Source organism: Homo sapiens, chromosome 14, assembly GCF_000001405.40.
Source record: "Homo sapiens chromosome 14, GRCh38.p14 Primary Assembly".
In the NCBI taxonomy this organism is placed as follows: domain Eukaryota; kingdom Metazoa; phylum Chordata; class Mammalia; order Primates; family Hominidae; genus Homo; species Homo sapiens.
In genome coordinates this window covers 33050688-33076818 of record NC_000014.9, presented here as the reverse complement: position 1 = coordinate 33076818, position 26131 = coordinate 33050688, and the positions used below count along the sequence as shown (strand labels likewise).

At 37.4% G+C, this 26131-nt stretch overlaps 1 protein-coding gene across 17 annotated transcripts in view; it reads right to left on the bottom strand.

The window, feature by feature from the left end:
- NPAS3 (neuronal PAS domain protein 3) overlaps positions 1 to 26131 on the bottom strand; it is an 869389-nt gene that overhangs the window by 727355 nt on the left and 115903 nt on the right. For 9 of the 17 annotated variants that reach the window (XM_017021582.2, XM_017021583.2, XM_047431678.1 and 6 more), the window contains exon 2: positions 20825 to 20914. The exons of the other annotated variants lie outside the window; for them this stretch is intronic. In XM_017021582.2, coding sequence (XP_016877071.1) covers positions 20825 to 20914 — 90 coding nt within the window. The remainder of the gene's footprint in view (positions 1 to 20824; positions 20915 to 26131) is intronic. 17 annotated transcript variants of the gene reach the window in all.

The window sequence follows — 26131 nt, the reverse complement described above, 5'->3', positions numbered from 1 at the left end:
CTGAAAATACTTTTTTGTACTAACACATTGCTTTGGATTAATCAGATAAAGATGAAAGTCAAGCATTTTGCCAACAGTGTTTCTTGCTAACATTACTCAGTTATGCCTTTCAGCTCAATATACTGTATATGAAGGATATCTTGTTAAAACAACTGTTGGAGGCAAGTCATGTCATATCAGCTACACTCTATACCCTATGGGAACTCAAATGGCCCAAAGTCTATGTTAATATAATCTTGCTGCTCCGTTGAGCTAAGGCAAAAATCACAGTTTTTCAGTGACATGTAAGCTTTCATATAAGTACCACATTATCTATATGTCTTCCAGAAATGAAGGAAAGCTGTTCTAAGGATTATGCTGAATCAATTTAGGAAGGTAAATATCGTTAACAAATACCATAAAATAACCTAATAAATGATTGCAATCTCTATTTATCAACTAACAAGAAGTCTATACTCTTCTTTATGTAATTGGTAACATGGTATCTATGGGAAAATAAAATGCCCCTGCCCAAGGGCTCTAGGTGGCTTTTCAGCAAAAAGCTCTTTACTTCCTTACACAGAATTTCCCATGCAACACGCTAAGCAATTCCACGACCCTCCTGTCCTTTTTCTTTGGGGTGTGAGGTCTTGTTTTTCCTTATCAACCTTTGTTTATTATAAATTTGAGCATAAAAAATAAAGACCCGTGTTTTCAGGTTTTGTGAGAGGGCTGAGGGAAAGGTCAAGATAGAAATACAAGATGGGTTTTTTTCTTAATACTACTTCAAGCCTGGTGATAAATAATGATGGAAAATGCAAAAATACATATTATTTACAAAAATTGTATTATGATATCAGTGGGTAAGAATTTTAAAGGCCAATTCTAATTGTTATAAAAACAGACACATAGAATTGAGAATGATCTAAAAACAGTTTAATTTTTTAATATAATCCAATCTCCAATCCTACCAATGAACAAAATATGAAACCAAATCTTAAAATGTTAGAACTTAAACTACATATTCTTATGGACTCAGAAAATACAGTTTACTGAAGATTTCCTAAATTTTAACATTATTTATGAAAATTCATTATATGACTATCTCCCTAAACAAATATTTTAAAGAAGTTAAATTACAATTTTAAGTTCTCCCTCTTTTGCCAGCTCAATGGCCTAATACGAAGCATACAGGAGGCAGTTTTCTAAGCGTTTCTGTTGACTAATAGAAGCTGCTATAAAATGTGTTCTAGCAACTTGCAGATAACTGCCAGCCAGGCCAACAACACTGCTAATCTCAAGAGAATCAAGTACTAGTTATGCTTTGGTAATATCAGCTTTATCAGTTAATATAAGAGAGAAAACGCAGCATATGTAGGACTTACTTTATAAACAAACATCATGAAGAACTTTAATGGTACAATAGATGTGAAATGAAAAATAAAATATAAATTGCAAAAATAACTGAAACGTTTTTAAATGATGCAAGCTAAGATACTTAACACATTGCTAATAATAGAATCCGCTTACATTTCAGGATACTCATGCTCATATTATTTATAGTCACCTAACATGACGAAAAATATAGAGGGACCCTAAGAAAATCCTGTTAACCAAGATATTTTTAAGAAATCAAACATTATTTGTAACAATAAGTATAGTAAGTGTGAACCTCACTTGTAAGACCTTAAATTGTTTAAGTCAGAATTCCTACAAAAACTGGGTTGATGCTGAGATTCTGGTGTTACAATATTCAACATACTCTTATGATTTAAAAGATAAAAATCTACTTTCTATACAATGGAACACCTTTCAAGAAGAGCTTATATACTGAAGCAGAAAATATAGTATTTCAATTACAAGTTCTAAGGAAATGATGACTAAAATAGGATTTATTTTTCTTCCTCTGTATCATCTAATGGAGGTAGAAATCAGGTTAATAAGAGTGTGAATCTTGTAGTTCATAATGAACAGTTCAGAAAAATGTTATGAAACACCTCTTCTCAATATGGTAACTAGCAGAAAATGCATACTAATCACAGAAGTTGGTTCTGCTTTTAGCAAACACATTTACGTAGCTATTCCCATGTAGCGATGGGATCTGCCTTTAAGAAAGAAAGTGTTGGCCGAGCGCGTGGCTCACACCTGTAATCCCAGAACACTGGGAGGCGAAGGTGGGCAGATCACCTGAGATAGGGAGTTCCACATCAGCCTGGCCAACATGGTGAAATCCCATCTCTACTAAAAATACAAAAATTAGCTGGGCATGGTGGCATGCACCTGTAATCCCAGCTACTCAAGAGGCTGAGGCAGGAGAATCGCTTGAACCTGGGAGGCGGAGGTTGTAGTGAGCCGAGATCATGCCACTGCCCTCCAGCCTGGGTGACAGAGCAAGACTCCGTCTCAAAAAAAGAAAGAAAGAATGTGTTATCCCTGCACCATCACCCACAACATGCATGTGTCATGTCTGATTGGTACCTTAATGCACAGGCAGCATTCACTAACAAATACAAACTTTAAATTCATCTGTTTGATATCACTAGCTTATGTTATATATACCTATCCTATAACATTAACATGTATTTGTTTCCTATATAGTAGGATATGAATTAAATGTTGGCCATTTCTTATAATAATCCATCTGCAGAAACATTTCTGGCTGCCTATTCCAGCCCAACAATGTTCACTATCTCATAAGTTCTTCTTGGTGCTCTATCAATAAATATAATTTTAAAAAGTATTTCCTGATTGAATCCTGTTGAAGCATGTAGGTAATCACATAAACCACAGCCAGCATACTGGGACTAGAACAGTGGTCCTCAAACTTTCCAGTCAGCAAATCACTTTCACAAGTCAGGAGATGACATGATGCCTCTACCCCACCCCATGTTCACACAACAGCCCTTAAAAATAAAACACGAAACAATCTATGCCTGTGCAGATAAAAAATTTATATAGTCTCCTCACTTTATGATTATCACAAAAGCCTGTAAGCTGGCCTCTCTCTCTCATCCACTCCATGCAAACACAGAGGTTACAAAAATCCCACACATTCCATTATTCTTTGGCCCAAATACTTCAGTATATTGAAACTAAATAAAATGTCGAAATCAAATTCCTCTTTTCTTCTTCAAGACTCCGTATGCCTAAACCCTTTCTAGTCAATCCTGAATAGAAATTGTTTCCATCTTTTGTTTGTCATGTACAGACGTGGCTTGTTCATTACCTTGTTCATTCACGGGCCAGCTTTAAGTTCCAACTTTCCAAGAAGAGACCCTCAATTCTCGACAGCCACAAATAAGTTTGCTCTCTGGACTTGTACAGAACTGAAAAACTTAGGCACTTCTTAAGGCACTTCACCTGTCCCATCTTGTATAAAAAGCACTTGCCACCCTCTATCTCCTTGCCCTGATTTAATTTACTGTATACTATAGAGTTCTACCTTTTTAACTCCACATGTATCTGCATAATGTCTGCTCCCCTCAATTTAATATAAACTCTATGCTATAGGAACTGGAACTTAGTAGGCATTCACTAAATATTTATTAAATCAATAAATTATATGCCTCATTGCCCCACTGGCATGCAACTTCTTTGAGACTGAGGATGCCTACACTTTCCCAAAAGGAGACAATAAATATTTCCTTGATAAATGAGTGTTTGTTCCTGAACTAAACCAAATGACTTTCAAAATGACCACATCCTCCCTCAACATATTCCATTTTCCCCAAATAAAACACGACCAATTTGCCCAGTGATTAAAATGGAATATTAAAACCCAGCAGTGATGGCATCACCATCATTTAAATAATGCTTGCCTAACCCATTCTATTTTCTGTTAGGGTACAAACATAATAAAGTAAAAAAATTTTTTTTAAGTTGTGGCAATTATTAGGCAACTTTAAAAATTATATATATGTATATTTTTCTTATAAATGAAATACCAAAAATATGGGTCACAAGTCGACATGAAAGAACACTATGTACCAAGGTTACTGTCCCAGAGAAAGAGAGACTAGATGTTAAATTCATTACCTATAATTTCAAGGAAACCAAAGGCCTAAAAGTGCCAGCTCTGCTAGACACCAGGCTATGTGGGCAGGTTCCCACGCAGCCCTGCCAGTTCCACCCTGACCCACAGCATCCCCTGCTATTTCGCTTCTAAACAAAGATTTATGTCAAATTATGTTCTAGTTTTGTGGTGTAGCAAAATATCCATTCAGGGTTATGATGGGACCACCTAACACATGTTCATTTGGAATCTAATCCAGATTAGATCCTGGGTTCCCTAGGGAAAGAGGCAAGGACAGTAGCCCACGCTGTTCTTTAACTGGCAAAAGCTTTCAGTGTATTTCTATCGTAAAGAAAAATTCACCTTTGTTAAATTACATTTTCATGTTTATGTTTTTCGTGTTCATATTATAGGTTGATCTAAATTTCAAAATATAATACAGTGATTTCTAATACACTGCTCTGTGATAATACTAGAACAACTGAAGTTGTTTTCTAAATGAAATTTTAAATCACGTCCTTTTCCAAAGGAAGTGTGGTTCCCATAAATTAGTCTAGAATATTATTAAAAGAAAGAATATTGCTATTTGCCACCGTTATTTAAAAGCAAAGTTGACACTTTTAAAAACACAGAATCTGGCCAGGCGCAGTGGCTCACGCCTGTAATCCCAGCACTTTAGGAGACCGAGGCAGGCGGATCACCTGAGATCAGGAGTTTGAGACCAGACTGTCCAACTTGGTGAAACCCCATCTCTACTAAAAGTACAAAAATTAGCTGGGCGTGGTGGTGCACATCTGTAATCTCAGCTACTGGGGAGGCTGAGTCAAGAGAATTGCTTGAACCTGGGAGGCGGAGATTGCAGTGAGCTGAGGTTGCACCAATGCCCTCTAGCCTGGGTGACGGAGCAAGACTCCATCTCAAAAAAAGAAAGAAAAGAAAAAAAACACAGAATCTCTTCTTCAGAAATTTGATGGAAACATGTCATTTACAGCTCTAACTAGCATGACTACTTTGTATTTTTTCATTTGAATAATTTTCCAGAATAAAATTATTATTCTTTATTGTGGGGCTGTTACCACTTTGACTAGGTTGTATAAATTTAACACTTAAGTGATACATAAAATTAAGACCTTATCCAGCACACTGGATATAGATTTTGTCACTTTTGTGGTTCGTATATGCTAAACAGTAAATGTTGCAATTATATATTTAAAGTGCCATAAAATGCTTACCTTTTTACCCACTGCTCTAGAATATGGGTAGGAAGGATGTAGATTAGCTTTGTTTTAATAATCTTAATGATTAGTTGTTTTGATGATCTTAATTATTGAACATAATTATCTGAATATTATTTCTATAGCTCGGTATGATTAAAAGTCTCAATTAAAAGATTTACTTAAAATCTTTGGCTTATGAAAACGTTTTGGAATTGCCTACTTGACTACTGAATTAAGTTTCTCCTAGAAATGCATAAGCAGCGTAATCATGTTTTATCTGTGCCTTTTTATGACCATGTAAGTGTTATTTAGAAATATTTGAGAACAGAAAGCTGTTCTTTTCCATGCAACCTCATTTATGCCTTTTAACAAGTTCCATGCATATTATTTGATGGTTGCTCAAAAATATTAATCATGATGATAATAGTATTGTTCCTAATGATGATAAACCATTAACTTATCATGAGGTTCAATGAATCACTTGACAAATCAGGTATGGACCAACCTCCTGGGTAAATGTGTCATGGGGGTAAGTTGTACCCATAGGTAGCGTAGAACAAACCTAGGAAAACTGATAGAGGCTAAAATTACTTATTTTCAGTACATACTAATAAGAGCAAAAATTTATCCTCAACCTGCCACACATCTCTAAGTTCCTTATTAGAAAAAGGTTTCTGAACCTGGATAAAAAGGTAAAAGCACCCAGTGTTAAACCCTTCAAAAAGCAATTATAAACACGCTTTAACATATTTATACCTATGTCGCACAAAGTCCCTCAAGCATTCTTTGTGCCTTACCATCTTAAATATTTTGCATGAATATTGTGCTAAACAGTCAGCATTTTGTTCACTGGATAGTTGTAACTAGTCCAGCAGTACATGAATACAGGCCCATGTGTAGAACAAAGAATGCAATCTCAGCTTTCAAACCAGCAGCTTGGTGCTCTGACCCCTACGCCATGTGCTATGATCATGAGTGATGGTGCTGTTCTGACTGTACGCTACTTTCAAACAATGATCCACAAAGTTAATCAAAAGGGCTTCCCTGTTCAATATTTACCTGTTACTCATTGACAGCCACTGTCTGCACTGCCATCTAGGACGTATAGGATGGGATCAGTAATACTGAGCTCAGACAGAACCTGAGTGCCTCACAGAAGTACCAGGCACAATGAAAGCAGAATTAAGCTGCTCTTCAAACTACCTCTGACACTAAAGATGTCCGCATGAGTTCCACAGTAGCAATGCACTGCTCTTTCCTGGATTTGGAGGCCATATAGTTGCTGATAATAAGAGGGATGAAAAAAACAACAACTACATGAAAGAAAAAAAAAGAAAGGAGATATTAGGTAGCAAAATATAAACATGGAGGAGAATTTTATAAATATAATATAAACAAGGAGGAGTAATTTCCTGTATTTGGTCAAAAAAATAATATTCCCTCCTTGATGTGATCTCCTTGCTTTTATGTACTAGGAGTCATATCTATCCTGAAAATTATTTTTCTCATTTTAATACACATTCAACATTTTAAGCTAAAAAATAATAAGAAAACATTGATCTTTTTTATGTGTTAGAGATTTAAATGCTGTTTGCCAGTCTGTCAATCAAAATGTGCCCAGAAGGGTTACTGACCAGCTTCCATGTCCACCTTCAAAAAGAGGCACGTAATCAGACTAATCACAATGCAATTCTCTGTCATTTTTAAACTATCAACTAGAGAACAAGGCTTACTATGAGACCTTATTATTCACATTCATTAACCAGGTAACTTGACAGGTTTTGAACATGGGTAGTTACAGGGGTGAAAAGTCACTCTAAATGTTAAATCCTCTTTTAGCTATTTTTTCCACAGCACTAACTTTTTTGAGTTAGTAGTTGAGTACTTAGTATGCACTTCCAGGGGAAGCATTTTTCTAAGCATTTTACATGTATTAGTTCATTTAATCCCTATGGAAAATCCTAAGAGAAAATCCTATGAGATACTATCATCAGCATTTCGCAAATGAGAAAGGTGGGAAACAGGCAGCTTAAGTAACTTGTTCAAGATCACCCAGCAAATAAGTAATGGAACTAGGGTTTGAATACATCCGTCTCCATCATAGCCTGCACACTTACCCACCACACTGACATTCTCCTATTGCATTCCGCACTGCTCAAATGCAAGGCAATCATTGGCCTTTAACGAGTACCTTTTTAAAAGTTTGTGGACTGAATAAATGAATAAATATCTCTAAGGAACTTGCAATGTTATTGAGAAGATATTATCCGTACATACACATAGCCTCTTACCATTTAACTTTTATAAGTTTTTGTCATGCTTCATCTCTAAGTTTACGAGGGAAAGGTACTTATTTGCATACATGTGATTGAGTGCCACCACATGGAATACAAAGTCAATGATACATTAGTATTTAATCTTGGATTCAATATCGACTTCTCTCTCTCTTCTTTATCCACTTCGTCTTGGTACAAATCACACCTTGATTATGCTGATAGCCTCTGAGCTAAGTCCCCTGCTTCCACCCTCAGCCCCCTGAAGCATATGCTCAGCCAGTAACTAGACTGATACTAAAATCAGTTAGGTCTCATTTCTCCTCAATTCATAATCCTCCCAAGACTCTGTTTCGAGTGGAACAAAAGCCGAAGTCCCTCCCTGGCCCGCCAGCATCCCGTGTGCTGTTGCCTCCCTGACCTGTCTCCTGCCACTGTCCTCCTTGCTCATTCAGCCCCCACCACACTGGCCTCCCTGGTGTGCTTTGAACACATTAGGAACCCTTCAGCGCCTTTGTAGTGGTTGTCCATTCTACCTGGAATGTTTTCGCCTGGCTATGTGAATGCCTAACTCCCTCACTTCCTTACAGTCATTGCTCAAATGTCATCTTTCTTTTAATGGTCACCATCTATTATAACCACAATGACTCACTTCTACCCCAGGACTCCTAAATCCTTCTTAACCTTCTGTATTTTTGTTCCACTGCACTGACTGCCATGTAACAGACTATATGATTTCCTTCATTTTTAACATCTGCTGTTTAGTGGCTGTTTCTAATGCCATCCAACTTTGAGAATCATCCAACTTTGAGAACAAAGATTATGGCCTTTGTCCACTGATATATACCAATCAATAGTTCCTGGTTATAGAAGGTACTCAATTAATGTGTTAAGAGAAGAGAGAAACCACTGTGGATAAAACAAGGTTAGAAAGACTTTACAAAGGAGCAAGCAAAGGCAGGGACTTAGTGCATGTGTTGTGCCTAACAAGAATGAATGGAAATGTTTCATGGACAGAGCACAGAACTCGCGCTAAGAAATGTCTGGTGTTATAGGGAGGCTGAAAGGCAGAATGGAGCTACACTGGTAAGTTTTAAACACTAAGCTAAGATTACAGACAGCTTGACGTGAGATGGAGCAGTCAGTGATTTTGAGCAGGAAAATATGTTAGAAACAGTATTTCAATCTGGTAACTATTTATGAAGCAGCCCAGAAAGGAAAATCTTTGCATTCCCTAGCATGGTGCTTTGCATAGAGCAGGACTCAAGTATTTATCTGAACCAAACTGAGTAAGATAGGAGATAAGAACACTAGTTAGGAGACTGCAACAATCTAGGCTGAAATAATAGCTTGAATTAAGGGGATGTGAAAAGAAGGGAAGTTTTAAAAGAAAATATGCTACTAAAAGAATATTTGAGACAAGAGAGAGGCAGAATAAAAGATAATGTCAAGAATGAGACTGAATTACTATATAAATGAAGATAAAGCAAAAGAAGTGCAAGGTAGGAGAGGATCTTTCTGGGGAAGACCCCAAGTTCTATTTTGGAGTAATGGTGGCACTGTCCTGGAGAAGGCCCTAAACTGGGAGATGAAAGAGGTCTTAATCTGTGGGCCAGCCATGTTACACCCGAGCTGTGTGAAATACTTGGAATCACTTAACCTCTGTAATACAAGGGCTTGTTTTTGTTTTTCTCCATGTAAAACAGACAAAACACAGTTCACTAGGTTGCTTTGAGGATTAATTGGGAATGCTCATGGGAGTGCTTACAAGCTTGTTGGTCATTACATGTGGAGATTGTTGTGAGGTGAAACAATGCAAAGGTCAAGTAGTTTGAAAATAGAAAACTAGAGTTTGGAAAGAGGGCTTAAGATTAAAAGTTGACATTCATCCATTTCTATGTGATAACCACAGTGTAAGGACAGATGAAATCCCCAAGGGGGAGACCTAATTGTCCCATGCTGGAGAGTACACAGCTTTACACTCACAGGACACTGGTTGTGTGTTCTTTAAATGACTGATGTTCAAATATGGCAAACCTCAATTTTTCTATGGGCATGGCTTCAAGTTCCTTAGGGTCTTCTTCTTTTGCAGAAATAGATTTCAACAGACCATCCTCAAATAGAGGATGGATGTTTTTCTAAGGTAAAGTGTCATCCTGCTCCAAGGGACCCTGTCATCCAGTTGAAAAGGGAAGAAGTGCTGGGCCACACAGACCGGAGAGGGTCTCCAATAGTTAGTTACCAGATTGCACCTCATTAGCTGTGTGAACTGAGCAATGTGCCTGACCTCTCTGAGCTTCCACTGTCTCGAGTGCAAACTCAGAATAATATTGTCTATTTCAAACATGGTTGCTTGGGTCAATTACAATAATGCTTGAAGACCACAGCACCCCATATTTGGAGCATGTTCTTTCCTTTTCTCCGGATTTCAGCCGTATCAATTACTGCAGCCTATGCAGTCTATGCATTATTGCACATAGAAAACCAGCCAACACAGAAGTAGGAATGGGGCCCCTGAAAGGTAACTTCACCGTCATGAGTTAATGCTTCTGTTGTCCCAGAAGGATCAACTTAGCCTCACAATAAAAGGCCCTGGCATCAAAGAATGTTTCCTTTTGACGGCAGAATAAATGTGGCTATAGTCATTCTCCTGTCTCTGTTTCAGAGTCTTGCATTCTCAGGACACTCTGTACCACAGCAAACATTTATGTCCTGCAAATTTCTCCTGAACAGACCCAATAAAGGTATTTGTGGTACAAGTGAACCAAACTTGCCACCAGACTCTTGTAAAAACATACTCTACTTAAAATCTGCTGGCCCATAATTTTAGTTTTCTAGTCTTCTCTTCCCTGAGGCATTTCCCAAGTACCATGATAAATTAAAAAATAAAAAACACAACATTCTTTATTCCTACAAGCATCATATAAATTGTTACTACCTCTGGGCAAGCAGCATTCAGAACAGAGGGTAAACAATCTTGCTATCAGATGAATGTATTGACCATGAATTTTACAAGAGTTCAGGAATGCCCTCGACCTTCCATCCTCATCTCCGCTGGATGTTTCTCCAAACCTCTCCTTTTAAAAGGGTGGTGCCATGAATACCATTGTTTTCACTGATAGCAATTCAAGACTTAGAACACCTGATGAATTTCTCCAGGGGATGAGAAGCCGAGCTGCTGCTTCTCATTTTCTGCTTGTGAGCCATCAGGCAGTTAAGGGAGTCTCTGGAAAAGCATGCTGCTTCCCCTGGAAGTGAACAAGGATCTCCCCTACAACTACATAAAATATATTCTTCACCAAGACATCCAGATGGTGCCTCAAGCACACAGGACAGGATGCTTTGTGCCCAACCAAGCCATGCTCATTCAATTTTACTCCTAAAACAGTTTTTCAAGTGGAGTTGAAGAGAGGAAGCAAAGAGAAGAATCATCAAAAAGACTGTATACCTTCCAGTGTCAAGGCCAAGGCATGCAGTTGGCTGTGATTCACTGTAAGCACCCCTGACAGGCAATAGTCAGGAAAATGATGCTGTTATGAAAGCTTATGATGGTTGAAATGCAAGTAATGGGAATTGCTAGTAAGAGAAATAGGCCTCTTCTCATTGGTAACACATGAGAACAAGCAAAGAGCAAGGCCCAGAGATCCTTTATAACTGGCTTGAGGGAGGGACAGGGAAATTAGGATTTAAATAAGATGTGGTGATAGTCTATTTAACCACATAAATCCCAAGCACCCAATTCCAAAGAATTCTCAAATTGATATACGAATCACAACGTCTCAAATTTGCCAATGAAAAAATAACCCAACAATGCTTCCGTTGCATGCTGGTCACTAAACCAAAATCCTCGAAGGACCCAGCCCTCTCTCTGCTTTAAGAACTGGACCTAAACATCTCAATACTAAACACAGTAAATAAAATTATTTTTAAGCAACCTAGAGGATAATGCAGCAGACATAATATGTGACAGGATGAGTTTGGAAAGCAACCAGAAAACTCCATCTAATCGTTTAACTTTTCATACATGGATGTATCTGACCTAAAAAAGCCGTATGTTTCTTTAACCCACCATACCCTTCTCACCACACCTTTCTCACCACTAGCTTCGTTCTATAACTGCAAAACTATTTCCACATTTAAATGTGTACTATGTCTAGATAAAAATAAATATTAAGGTGGTACGGAAAGATTTGTCTGCTGAAAATCCTATCACTAATGAGTATATCACTAGTTCTCGCTTGAATTTAAATTCAAACAAATTCTTTTGAAAACAAAAGTGCTAAAAATCCTGAATTTCAACACCAGGAAAAATATAAGTGTCACATCAAAAAGGAAATCTCTGTGGAACAGTTTCTCTATGGAAACTGACCATGTAGCTTCCAGCTTCCCCCAAATAAGCTGCTCATATACAAATTAGAACACCTCGTCCCAGACATTTCCCAGCCGAGTCAGGTGTGTATGGATTCACAAGAAAATACCTATATACATGGATATACATCTATAAAAAGTGTTATTCATAGAAACACACACCATTGTATAGAAGACTACAAGGATAGCCACCAAATTGTTAACAGTGGTGATCTGTGGGTAGGACAATTACAAAAACATTGATGTTCTTTCTTTATGCTTACCTGTGTTTTCTAAGTGTTCCAGAATGAAAATGTACTGCATCTCTATTCAAAAAGAGCTTTTGCAAGGGAAGAGGATAAACGTCATGAGGTAACTAATCTACGACTACTCCCCCTCCCCGCCCACCACTCACCAACCCAGAAACATGACATTGGGCCTGGTGAAAGAAATTCCAAGAATATTCCCTCAACACAAGTTGAAGGCCCACCAAAGCCTGCTCTGTGAGCTCCAAGGTAACACAAATCCAAGGCCATTTACAGAGCAGAGGACAGGGAATTCCCTAAATCAACAGAAAAACATATGGAAATAAAAGTTATGAGTAGGGTAAAGTGGAAACCATAATTTCGTTCCTTTGTTGCTGGTAGGACAATTAAGGGAGGTATATTAATTGTTTATCTTCTCATTAAAAGAGATGTCTTGCTGCATATTTTTCTTATTGTAAAGATACTGCTTATATACTTTTTAAATAATACAGATCATAATACTGTAAGTTTTTTTGATAATATGTATTTTTCATAAGGAAAATTATACTTTTTAAATTTCCTAAAATTATAAAATTTTCTCATGTATGAAATTAATTTCTTTTAATAGATATCCTGAATAGTCACTAAAATTCACAATGATCTCCTTTAAGGCAATACTGTACTTTGGTGTGAAAATGGAATTTCTCATTTATATTACATAAAGCATAGTAATAAACAACAACTATAACACATAATTCAGCGTGTGTTCCTTTTGGAACTTTAAGTTCTTCAACATCTCCATAGTCATTATGACTTTTCTTGCTGGCGGTTGAATGCTTATTATTTCCATTTTGCAGATACTAATTCTGCGAGGTTAACAGTTCTATAGTAAGTTAGATGAGCAACAAGGTAGTACTCATTTAGTGTATGTTTACTATATGCCAAGCACCATGATTAGTGTTTTTATGGTTTAGACCTTAGGTTCTGAAGTCAGATAGCCTGAGGTCTAATGCGGAGGTCAGCAAACTTCTATAAATGGCCAGATTGTAAATATTTGCAGCTTTGTGGGCCATATGGTCTCTGTCACTACTATCAACTATGCTCTTATAGCAGGAACGGAGTCACAGATAATACCTAAATGGTTATGGATATTTTCCAATAAAATTGTATTTACAAAAATGGAGGGGGATGGGGTAGATTTGGCTAATGGGCCCTAATTCAGTGATACTAATCCTAATTCCACCACAAATGAATGGGTATGGCCTTGTTCCAATAAAACTTTACAAAAACTGGGGGGTTGGGGGTAGATGTGGCTAGTGGATCATAATTTGCTGATACTAATCTTAATTCCACCACATCCTGCCTTCTTAACCTTGAGTTAGTTCTGTCAGCTCTGTAAGCTTCTGTTACCTTATCTGTAAAATGTGGTAATAATCATACCTAAGGCATAAGTTTATTGTAAGGATTTTTTTAAATGTATGTTAAGCCATTAGCCCAGTGCCTGACGTTGGCATCTGGTAAAAGATCAGTAATGTTCATTATTATCACCATCCTAATCATCACATTCATCCTCAAAACAACCTCTGAGGTATTGTTTTGCCCCTACTTTTAGAGATAAGCAAACAGAAGCTTAAAGTTAAGCAACTTAGTCACTGTCCCACATGTAACAGATAATTGTGGGGCTAGGATCAAAGCCAGATCCATTTCCAAGAGATTTAACCACCGCTAGCAATGACTAAACATTACTGCATGGACTTAATTGTTTAAAATAGCTTGCTCATAGTCAAAGAACAAAGCATAATGATTATACTCTAATGCATAAACTAAGTCCAAAGATTCACTAAAGACACATTTGTAAACTCAATACACAGAAGAAGCTGTTCATAAGGTAAGGAGAATTTACTGAAACCACAGTTTAAGTTTGCTGTAGTATTTCTAAAGTCTGGACACAAGCACATTAGTATCACTGACTTTCTGAAACCACCTGTTAGCGATTTTTGAACGCCGCTGTTCAACAGCGTGCCTACAAAAGGCTCGTTGTGGTGCTACACCTCTCATCTTGACCTTTACTTTCGTTCTCAAGTTTCTAGAGGTCACATGCACACTGCAGGTGTGTCACCAACCAATTATTTTTTAAAATCTAGGTAGTCACTTCTCTCATAATGAAAATATACACTCCGGTGAAACCAATTAATATTCTTTCATTCTAAATCATGCTGCCTGCGCCTATCCATTTTTACTCTCTGGCATTCGTTTATCTTGAATTACAAGTGGTCTGTGAGGAGAAAGGCAGAGGTGGGCACCTCAAGCCAGGAAAAGCAATGAGTTTGCAGACAGATCCTGAACCGGATTTCACATTGGGAGAGTCCTTCAAGATATTTATCAATAAAAAACAACTTTAAACTAACAAACACCACAATTTCACATTCCTTCTTTTTTTTTTTCTTTTTTTTTTCATAGGTGGGAATTGAACAATGAGATCACATTCCTTCTTGCAAAGCAAGTTACAAGAGTTGTGAAACAAAGAAGAGGAGAGGAAGCTATGGAACACTCCCACAGCAGCCTCAGGCCTAATCCACCTCCAGGGTAATTCTTCTCGAAGATGCAGTCTCTGTCACACTCCTGAAAACTCCTGCCAGGGCTCTCCCAGGATGGCAGTCCTCTGGGATCTGAGGCCTCTGCTCTCCCTTCCTCTCCAGCCTCACCTCCTGTCACCGTTCCCCAGCCCTCCACTTCTGCCTGTGTCCTTTGCAATTTGCCACACCAGAAATGCCTTTTAGCCCAAACCATTACCTCGGGTTCCCTCCCAAGCTCAGATAGCTCCTCCTCCACCATGAAGACCTTGGGCTCCCTGCACTATTAAAAATGGCCCCTCTGTGGTGCTGCTTCCATAGTTGACACTTATTTCTCCTGAGGCACCGCTCCAGGCAGAATGTCAATTACTTATTGATATCTCAGTCTTCTAGGCTTCTAGAGAGCAGAGGTTTTCTTAGTCACCTCTGAATAAGTCAGTTAGTGTAGAACAGTTCGTGTAGAAAAGCACCTGACCCGTGGGTGATGATTAAAATATATTTGTTAAATGAATGAATAAATTCACTCACTTCTAGGCTAGTCTAGAATAACCCCTAAATAATACACTTTCATGCCATCCACATTACCAACATATGCTACTTCAAGTCATTTATAGGCAAAAGCATTCGTGTGATGCTAAAATTAACTGGGAGAAACCACCAGAAACCATGCTGAAGTCTGAAAGGCATGATGTGGAAATTAGAATTCATTTGGATATCGAAAGGCTTGAAGCAGTTCTTGCTACAAAGTTCAATGTCTGTTTAACATGTTTAGCATTAGAGCTCTTTATGAAGGTCATTTTATATTTCTAACTCTTTTCTCAATCCTTTGTTATTTACTGATCCTAACACAACTGGCATAAGTTGTTCTATTGTGCAGGTGAGGGGAAGATGACTGTATAATAGCAATCAGTCAATCAGGTTAAACAACCAGCAAAAGAATTCACTCCTGCTGCTGGAGCCTCCGTGACCTTTCCCTTTTCTTCAGCATAGGTGACCATCCTCCCCCCAGCAGAATCCCTGACAAGGCGCCTGTCTTGTTCGCCTTAATTGGGATAACACATGAAAGTGGTTAGCACTCTGTCTTGTACAAAAGAGCTGATAAAGACTGGCACGTTCCCTCCTTCTTCACTCATTCTCCTCTTCTCTTCCCTGGAACTTGTTAATTCCTTCCCTCTTTTGGTTGTGAATCCAAATCCACGCTTCTTGGCCAAGGCCAGCCTTAACACTATATACTGAGTAGAGTACCCACATTCTGGATTTGTATTTTCAGGAAGAAAGAAACTTTCCTCTAGCCCCATATGAATTTATCCAAGCCCTGTCATGGTGTCTGAAATTATTCTGTTGGAAAAAACTACCCATTTTCTTGAATTTGTTCACCTGGAGTTGCTTATGAAAAGGCAAATCGTCCTGAGAACAGTAACACCATCAGCTAACAACACCTGATCTGCAATGAGGGCTATAGACAATCACAACTCTGTGCCGATGAGGCACAGGTTTGAAACACTAACCAGGCATCCAGGTGGAATGAATTTCACAAAGGAGAAAAAGGGGCTTGGAAAAGGATGGGGTTCCAAAGGATGGAAAAGACAGCTAAACAAAGACAAACTTTACAATTTTGCCAATGGCCTCTTCTGCTTTCAATGACAACTGTCTAAATCCATTACAAACACCTTCTCAATCAGGGCTTCTCAATCTTGGTTACACTTGGAGTCTAGGAATCCTGGATTAAACCTCGTTGTTTAAAATAGGTACTGCCATGCCTATTACAATGGCATAGCATGTGCTCAATAAACGTTAGTAATTGAAACTGCCATCTCAGACTCACTCCATCTTTTCTAAATACGGGTGAACGGATTGTTCTTGGCTTTAAAGACACCCCACTCTTCCTCAAATCCCTCTATGGCAGTGTCCAACTATATGGCTGAATTGCAACTTAAGTTTTGAAGCTACAAACACCTAGCTCAGTTGACTCTTTCCTACTTATCTTTCCTCACTATCTCATATTCTTCTTAATATAGGTGATTTCCTTTGAACTTACTACTACTATTCCATCTCATGTCTATGAATATTTTATTTCCTCTGACTTACCCAATATTTTCTTTCAAGTTCAGGCCAGGAATCCAGTACTTTTAGAGGCTGAGGTGGGAGGATGGCTTGAGCCCAGGAGTTCGAGACCAGCCTGGGTAACAGAGTAAGACCTTGTCCTCTACTAAAAACAAAACAAAAAAGCCAGACATGGGGGCATGCACCTGTAGTCTTAGCTACTTGGGAGCTTGAGCCCAGGAGTTCGAGGCTGCAGTGAGCTATGATTGCACCACTGCCTAGGCAACAGAGCAAGACCCTGTCTCTAAATAAAAAACAATAAAGTTCAAAGTTATAGTTAGTATGGAAGGGGTGTCTTTTCTCCTATTTTAGACTATGCTACTTTTACTTTTGTATTTGAAAATATTTTTATAAGATTGACAACTGTTTTAATTTGAAAAGAACTTTTGCATCTTCTGATGAAATCCACTACTTTACAGATGTGTTTGCGAAAACACAGACATTATTGTAAACTGTAAAAGACCACTAAAAAGGAAAGGAGGGGTCTGAGGCCCAAAATTTGTAATACTTAGCAAAATAACTGCCTAACTTAAAATGATACAATTTGTAAAATATTTACAATATGAGGTGTATTTTTTAAAACACTATATACCTACCCTTTACCAAAGAACCTGATCTTACCAATTAAACTTGAAATTTTAAATTGAAAGTATAATAAGCATTTAACAGAAGTTAGAGTAACTATTACTATTATTTGGAACTAATTATAGACGTTTTAAAATAATCACAGGTTTTATATTCCTGCTTGTTTTAAACTTTCATTATTGAAACAATTGTCTAATCATTTAAATAATTACCAATAAAATCTAAATGCAACATAGAAAATAATGTCTTTAAATATGTAATTCAAAATAATTATAAAACCATAGAATTATAGTTGGAACAAATATGAGCAATGACATGCTGGTACATGTATAACAATCACTTGGGGCTTAGAGAGCACCAGAATTGCAATATTTTCCAATTTCCATGGTGCAAGTACTTTCTGCAACTTCAAGTTACTAACGTGAGGCCAGAACTAACAAAGTGAGAAAGAGGTGCATACAATTGACTCTCACAAACCCATCCAAGTTGGCTCTAGCACATCCCTGAATATGAGAGACCAAACAGCGTAGCCTCTTCATTCCTGAACCCTTTTCATAAGACTGACCATTTCTTTCTTTATAATCCAGTGTACCCTGAACACAAAGTGACAACACCTATATATTATTCTGTTTATACATTTACCTACTCAACTCTATCACAGTGGCTTCCATTCTTTTTGGATATGAAACACAGTAGAAACACATATTACCTCATGATCTACCCAGTAAACACATATGTGCAGTTATATGTACACATACACAAATATGAAACTAAAAAGGGAGCCTCACAAAATAAGACACATTCTTACTGAAATGCAATACAATAAAATTTTCTGTTCTCTTCCATTTCATTTTTAAAATTAGGATCTTGATCCACTAAATTGGATACATATCCAACTGTTTGAATAGTAACCAAGAGTTAGAAAAACGTCGCTGTAATAGACTATAAGCTCATTGAAGATTGGATGATATGTCATTTGTCTGTATCTATTCCTATATCTACTAGTAATTACTGAGGCCCAAGGAGATTAAGTAACTTGCCCAAAGATGCACCTGCTTTCATGGATAACAATCCCTCCAGGCAAGTGATAATTCACACCACAGAATCAGGAAATTTATGGTTTGACACTGAAAGCTAGAGGATCTTCCAAAACAGTTACCCCTTCACCAGAAATTGATGTAGAAATGTTTTTAAAATTGTACTGACTCCATCATTGATAAAAGTGTAGCCCTTTACTCACTGCAGCCCTGTGACCCTGACTGTTTGCCTACATCTCCCTACTCTTGATAATATTCACCCAACAAGAGTGTGGAAAAACTACCCATGTTTTTTACAATACTATCCATGTTTTTTTTTTTTACAATACATTTCAATCTTCTAGGGAAAGTAGCTATATAAATGCTGATGAGTAATAAATATATAGAATAAACATACTCCTTATATAATATATATTAACACCAGCTTTCTAATAAACAGAAGCCAAAAACTTAATTGGAGAAAATAGGAAGATAAAATCGGAATACCCGGCCTTTTCTCTTCAGTGTGCTTGTGTACCACATGCTTTTTTATAGGTGCTATTAAATGTACACTATAGTTTCAAGACAATTCAGATAAGCATCTTCACTAAAATACACAACACCATTAATCATCTCAGTGACAGTACTCCAATTCAACATCTTGGGGATTTCCTCCCCTTCTTCATCATTTATTTGCCAATATTTCCTTGTTATGAATATCCCCATAGTGACTTTCCCTGGCAGTCACAGCTGTGCTGCCTACTGTGTCTACCTTGACTACAAATAACACCAATTCTTTAAAAAGCAAGCCCTTGAGATGATTCCTACAGCTAGCAGGGAAGCCTTACTATGCGCCAAATTCCTGGTGGCCCCATCCGGGCTCCTAATTGACAAATCTCAGCCTCTAAGCCAACAGTAATTTCAGACACGTGAAACTGACTTAATTAAAAATAAACAACAGTTGATTGTTGATATGCACTTATTTGAATGGTCAGTAATCAAATCCTGCTTTAATTTGGTCCTTAAAGGACCCTCTTCTTATACAACAAAAGGATTTTTCAAAGTATACAACAAATCCACAAATCACTAACAAATTACAGAAACCTGGCCACCAAGAGCCACAATAAATGACTCACAGATAACAAAGAATTTTTTAAAATGATGATCAGTAACAATTCTGCATTATAATTATACCAGTTCGGATAAAACTAGTAACACTATCTAGACAGTGAAATATCAATAAATAAAGCCAGAGATAACTACATGTATATAGTAAAGATACAGTGATACAGTCACCTAAACCATGCTAGGTAGGGAACAGTCCCAGCTCCATCCAGTATCCACTTTGTGTCTATTTCAGAGAGCAGCCTTCACAGCCACCAGAATTTCTGATTTTTTAAAAATGGAAACCATGAAAGAAAGTGCTCTACAACCAGTTGGAGGAGTAAATGAAAGTAGGACTCACCAGCTTGCATTCACAAAGGATTTTTTAAGGAAAAAAATGGTATTGTTCAATAGTCACACTACTACAAAAGAAGTTAAGAGTGTGAAGACAAAAACACAACAAAGTATATTTGCAAAGTATATCCAGAAAACATAATGCCTTCAGTGGAATTATGTTTACATTACTTTCCATTTTCCATAGGAGAATTTAATTAAAGGTTAATGTTGCTTCAATCAATATTTCATAACTTTTATGGAAAGCATAAATTTCATCTTTTTTGGGGAAGATTCCAATTGGATTACTGTTTTTGAAGAAAACTTTCTTCACAGCAAAAGCAATACAAGTCCAACTATGATATATTAAAATGCCATTTCCTCCCAGAGCAGAGTGTTTACTTCAGTGATAGTAACAACACCTCGTTACCCAAAGTGCAGATTCTGTTAAGTAATGGACAAAGCAAATGGCAGCAAAGACAGAGGACTCAACTTCAATTTAACTGTCCTGTAAGGTACATAGTAATTAGCTGCAAAGCTCTGAAATCTTAGCTAGCATGTTAAGTCTGCTACATGACAGTATAATTTGACTTCTTAAAGGATTATGCAAATTACAACTCATCATTCCATTACAGGATTGAAAAAAAGTGACAGCTAATTTATACATAACACACCTTTCAAATCCCTAAGATGCGTAGCACCTGTGCAATGTATTTTGCCGAGATTTTCTTGCATATAAGTACTTGTTTATTGCAATATAAAGAAGCTTACCTAAGAGCTTTAATACAGTCGTTAAAAAAAACTTTTAGACCACAATTTCAAAAAAATAAACATTTTTTTTCTGTCTTGATCTCAGAGGCAAATTGTTTTGGTTGTTTTTATTTGGTTTGGTTTGTTGGTTTGTTTTTTTGTTTTTTTTTCTCCCCCACTAAATTAGATAAAAAGAAGGTTTCAATACAAGGATATTTTTGAATAGCTGGCAACCACAAGCACTGATGTACGAGCCAGAAGGAAGACTCACAAAGATTTCAACATACTTCTGGTAGGTAGATTCACAGTAGATTCCGTCATATCTGTAGATTTTCCTACATTCTGATTGGTTGGGCAGAGGATGCTGGGCAGTTATTCTGTAGAGGCATCAAAAACAGATAGACATGACTAGAGATTCTCTACAGTCAACTGGAATGCAGGATAACAAGTATGTTGAAATTCAATATATTTTGCTTTTTACGCTTTTGAGCTCTACACACAATTGCAATGTGTACATACATTTTAGAACATTAACTTCCACTTTTAGAAAACTGCAGTCAGAGAAAAGCAACTTTTTCAGTTCTTTATCAGGACAGTTTTGTTTTGTTTTTTTTTTTAAATCTCAGAGTCATAAAAGTGGAAGAAAAGAGACATAGGTCTAAACCTTAACTCACTCTTCAATTCCCATGATTATATTCTAAAGGAAATGTTAAAAACAAATGTCATTAGTGTTTTTGTTATAGGACTGTCATTAGTTCAATCATGCATTACTATTGTAGGCAACTGTAAATTAGCTATAAAACCTTGGTCGAGTTAATATATTTTTCAGCTCTATTCAATTTATATAGAGTTTGCTATGGACTTATAAAGGAATGCGATTCAGCTTACAGAACTAAACCCAATTAGGGATGAAAACACAAGCAAGGCCGTCGGGAACACGGGTTAGATGTTAACAGGCACCTGAGATGAACTGATTACAGTGGCTCCAGGTTTCTTGGCAGTTAAGGCAAAAAGGGGAAAAAGCTTACACAATTTTCATCTGTGTTACTTAAGCATATAAATTCATCTGAGACTCCTTGCATTATATAGACATAAAAATGCTGAGATGTTTTCTGGCCATTTCCTTCTATTGAAAATCCCTTCATTCAGGGAAAAAAGTATTTAAAGAATCTATCATTTCATAATTTAGAGGAAAGTAATGTCATTTAATCAATACACAATATCAGTACGAGTACCAATCCTTTCGCTCTAATACCAGCATATTAGAAAAGTATAATGTCTAATCCCTAAGCCAGTAGATACTTAATATCTTCTTAATTATTAATTAAAAACATGTGATGGATCATGCTACTTTATAAAAACTCAGATAAGGCCAGGTGCGGTGGCTCACGCCTGTAATCACAGCACTTTGGGAGGCCGAGGCAGGCGGATCACGAGGTCAGGAGATCAAGACCATCCTGGCTAACACGGTGAAACCCCATCTCTACTAAAAATACAAAAAATTAGCCGGGCGTGGTGGTCGGCGCCTGTAGTCCCAGCTACTTGGGAGGCTGAGGCAGGAGAATGGTGTGAATCTGGGAGGCAGAGTTTGCAATGAGCTGAGATCCTGCCACTGCACTCCAGCCTGGGTGACAGAGCAAGACACCGTCTCAAAAAAAAAAAAAAAACTCAGATAAGTTTTTTCTAATTTCTATGTTTCTAATTTTTTAAGTTTACTTAATATTTCATAAAGCCCAACATATTAAGTGACAATACTTTCAAATAATTTAAGTTCTACTTTTGAACTTTATTTAGCTGCATTAATAAGATTTTATTTAAACACATTCTCTGTGTTATATTCAAACTATATAAAGTATACATAGTTTATATATAAAGTATATGTATACTCAAATCTCTCATTAAATTCTGTAGGCCAACAGTTCTATTTATAATTAACCATTTACCCCTTGTTTAAGTGATTTTTAAGCCCCATGTTGATTATTGTATTCAACTTCTAACCTAAACATACTCATTAACTATCAGTGGAATTTCAAAAGTTTACATTAACCCATGTGGCATTTTATTGTAAAACTGTTACAAGAAAGCAAGAGATATAAAAAAGCTTGAAATGAAGCCCAGGTTTAAAAGATTCAATAATAGGCCCACCTGACAAATTAATTTTGGCCATTAAGTTTGCAAAAACAAATCCTGAGAAGTTGTTTTGAGCATGTGATAGCCCCAGTGACAGCAGATGATATGTTACAGATTTTTTAAAAGAATTGGTTTGACCTAAGATCACACTGAAATACTCTATATCTCTGTTCAGTGTCATTTTATGCTTTAAAATTGATTTCTTATATTTTGCTCTAAATTAAAAATTAAAGTACTGAGAAGTATTTGACTATGAACAATTTGAAGCAGTTAAAGAATAGTCAATGTTACCTGGCTCTCAATAATTTTGAAAATAAACTTACCCAGAAAAGGTTTTGGGTAGAGAGGAAGGGGGGAAAAGAAGGACTACCACTCTTTTGTTCGTGACAGAAAATGTTATGATGTAATTTTCATTTACATCTTGTGTACCATAGAGGAAACTGTCAGGTTTAAAAAATTACAGATAAGACATCTATAGGAATCAAATCCCCAAACCATCATTTACTTAACACTTTGTGTTTTACCTTTCTTGCTACAATATGTTATCATCAAAAAGCTACTGAGTTCATTCTCTCCACCTGATTTTGTTTTTAAAGGTTAAACACTGCCAGGAAAAAGTTCAAATATGCCTTTCAATCGTGAAACTATTATAAACTGTGGCTTCTGCCTATCAAACAATCCACATTCCCTTCCCTTCCTGTCACTTCTGTCTAGATGGACTCATCATACAGCTTGAGGTAGGACTTAAGTGCATTTACATACATGTGAAACATGTAAGCTATGACTAATTTTAACTCAGGGCAGAATTTAAATAATTAGTTACAAGAAGTCAAACTAAGGGAAAAAGGAGGAAAGAGATGGTTAGAGGCAGAGTAGTAAATTGTTCCATTTTTGCAGGTAATCTAAATGCAAACTAGAAGCAACTTATCATGAGAATGGATTTTCCACCATCTGGTCAAATAACAGGGGATTTGTCTAGTGGCAAGCAAAGAATGGAATGATGTGAGAAAGATTAGCGGGCAAGTCCTACAGTTGGCTAAAATGTATTTTGTGCAAACAAGAACAGATGACGCCTTAACAATTACACCTGTCAAAAACTCCAGAAAGCAATCCATCTCTGAACAGCCCAGTTGAAAACAGGCTAGTTCATAACAAAATGAATTTTTTTTAAACAATTGCCAGCCATAACAGTTTGATGCATGACAAGCTTAGGAAGTCACATTTCACGTTCAACTGAAACCTTAACTAACTGGACCCTGGTTTTCAGTGATAAGTAAGATATTAAACCTCCTTAAAAAAAAAAGTTCAAGTAATATAAATGGCAGGCTTGAAAATCACAAAAGCAAAGAAATTCAAAATTATAGACAGAAAACCAGAAGTAAGAAATTGCCATGGACTCACCCTCTTGTGCCTAGGTATTGCCACCGTAGTAGCAAAGGGGATTATTTCCTGGAGCAAATGTGGCCAGTACTGGCTCCCCTTGCTGGCAGTATTATTAGAAACAAGAGCAAGGATGAAATACATTATCTAAGCTGAGTTCCACCTGGTAGTGAGGGACAAACCCAACACATCATATTTTGCAACGTTTTTAAAGGGTTTTATTTTCTAGTTATTAAGCATAAGCGCTGGCCATTCTCTTGAATTAATATGTAGGGTTTTTTCTTAATGTATTGTTTTAAGACAATAGGATGAGTATATCTAATATTTACCTTTGGACTTGGGCAGTTTCTCTCATATCCCCCAGCAACCCCATTATAATGCACATAGCTCTGTTCCTGATTGGTCAGAGTAGTTTTTGGGGGTGGTAGGGTAGTTATTTAATATGTATCAGGGAAGATAAGCTACCAGAGAACAACTGACAGCCTAAGGATTGCACTGCTGTTTTTAATCCCATGCTTAGAAATATTTAAAATTTACAAAGCCATCCTTTAAAGACATTTCTGAGGACAACAGGGATCCTTTGCCACTCTTGGGGATGGTACTTTCTTATACAGGTGTCTGAACTGCAAATTTTATGGCTATTAGATGAGAAATTCAAAACCTACTTATAATTTTGAACTATCTTACTGAATTCAGGTTAAAATGTAATTCATGGCCAGGCACGGTGGCTCACACCTGTAATCCCAGCACTTTGGGAAGCCAAGGTGGGTGGATCATGAGGTCAGGAGATCAAGATCATCCTGGCTAACACGGTGAAACTCTGACTCTACTAAAAATACAAAAAATTAGCCAGGCATGGTGGCATGTGCCTGTAGTCCCAGCTACTCAGAAGGCTGAGGCAGGAGAATCGCTTGAACCCGGGAGGTGGAGGTTGCAGTGAGTCAAGCTCGCACCACTGCACTCCAGGCTGGGCAACAGAGCAAGACTCCATCTCACACACAAAAAAATGTAATTCTTTATTTGTACCCCTAAATTGGTATTCTAAATAACCATTTCACGTATAACTTTTAGTTTTCACCTCTTTGAGGGTTTGAAAACACAGTTTCTTCACCAAGGTATCCGTTCTCTGTTTTCTGATAGCCAGGGTCAAGGGCTCCCTGAATGACAGTGACTAGTATTTTCATGTTTCCTGTGTTTATGGAATTTGAAAGCTGCATCAATCACACAAAACAAAATTTTTTGCCCTGTAAAGTTCTGATGTGGACATTCATAGCTACAAATGCAACGAAACAGGGTCTGTGGTGTGTTCAAAATAGAAAGGTAGTTTTTCAGAAAAACAACATGAGTATACTACTATGTTACACCAGATGGCATTGCAAGTAAGAGTACAAGCTCTATAATCAGAGTTTTTGAGACTGATGGATCTCAGGTCTGCCACTTAGTAGGTGGTAGTGGGGAAGTTCTTTAGTCTCTCTTTTTTTTTTTTTTTTTGAGACGGAGTCTCGCTCTGTTGCCCAGGCCGGACTGCGGACTGCAATGGCGCAATCTCGGCTCACTGCAAGCTCCGCTTCCTGGGTTCACGCCATTCTCCTGCCTCAGCCTCCCGAGTAGCTGGGACTACAGGCGCCCGCCACCGCGCCCGGCTAATTTTTTGTATTTTTAGTAGAGACGGGGTTTCACCTTGTTAGCCAGGATGGTCTCGATCTCCTGACCTCGTGATCCACCCGCCTCGGCCTCCCAAAGTGCTGGGATTACAGGCGTGAGCCACCGCGCCCGGCCTTCTTTAGTCTCTTTTAACCTCAGCTTCCTCATGTGAAAAATGGGAACAATAAAAAGATCTACTTCACTACCTGCTGAGGATGGCCCAAAGAGATAATTGTGTAAAGTGCTTAGCCCAGAACTTGCACTTAGAACACAGTACATTAGCTTTTAATAACAGTAATTATCCTCCTACATGCCAAAGTTAGCAAACCCATTGTAGGGTCAAATATTTTTATAAACTATAGGCTGAAAACAGGGAACAAGAGATTTCATTCGAAATGTGTTTTGCACTGTGATCTTTTAAGACTTTCACTGTGATGCTT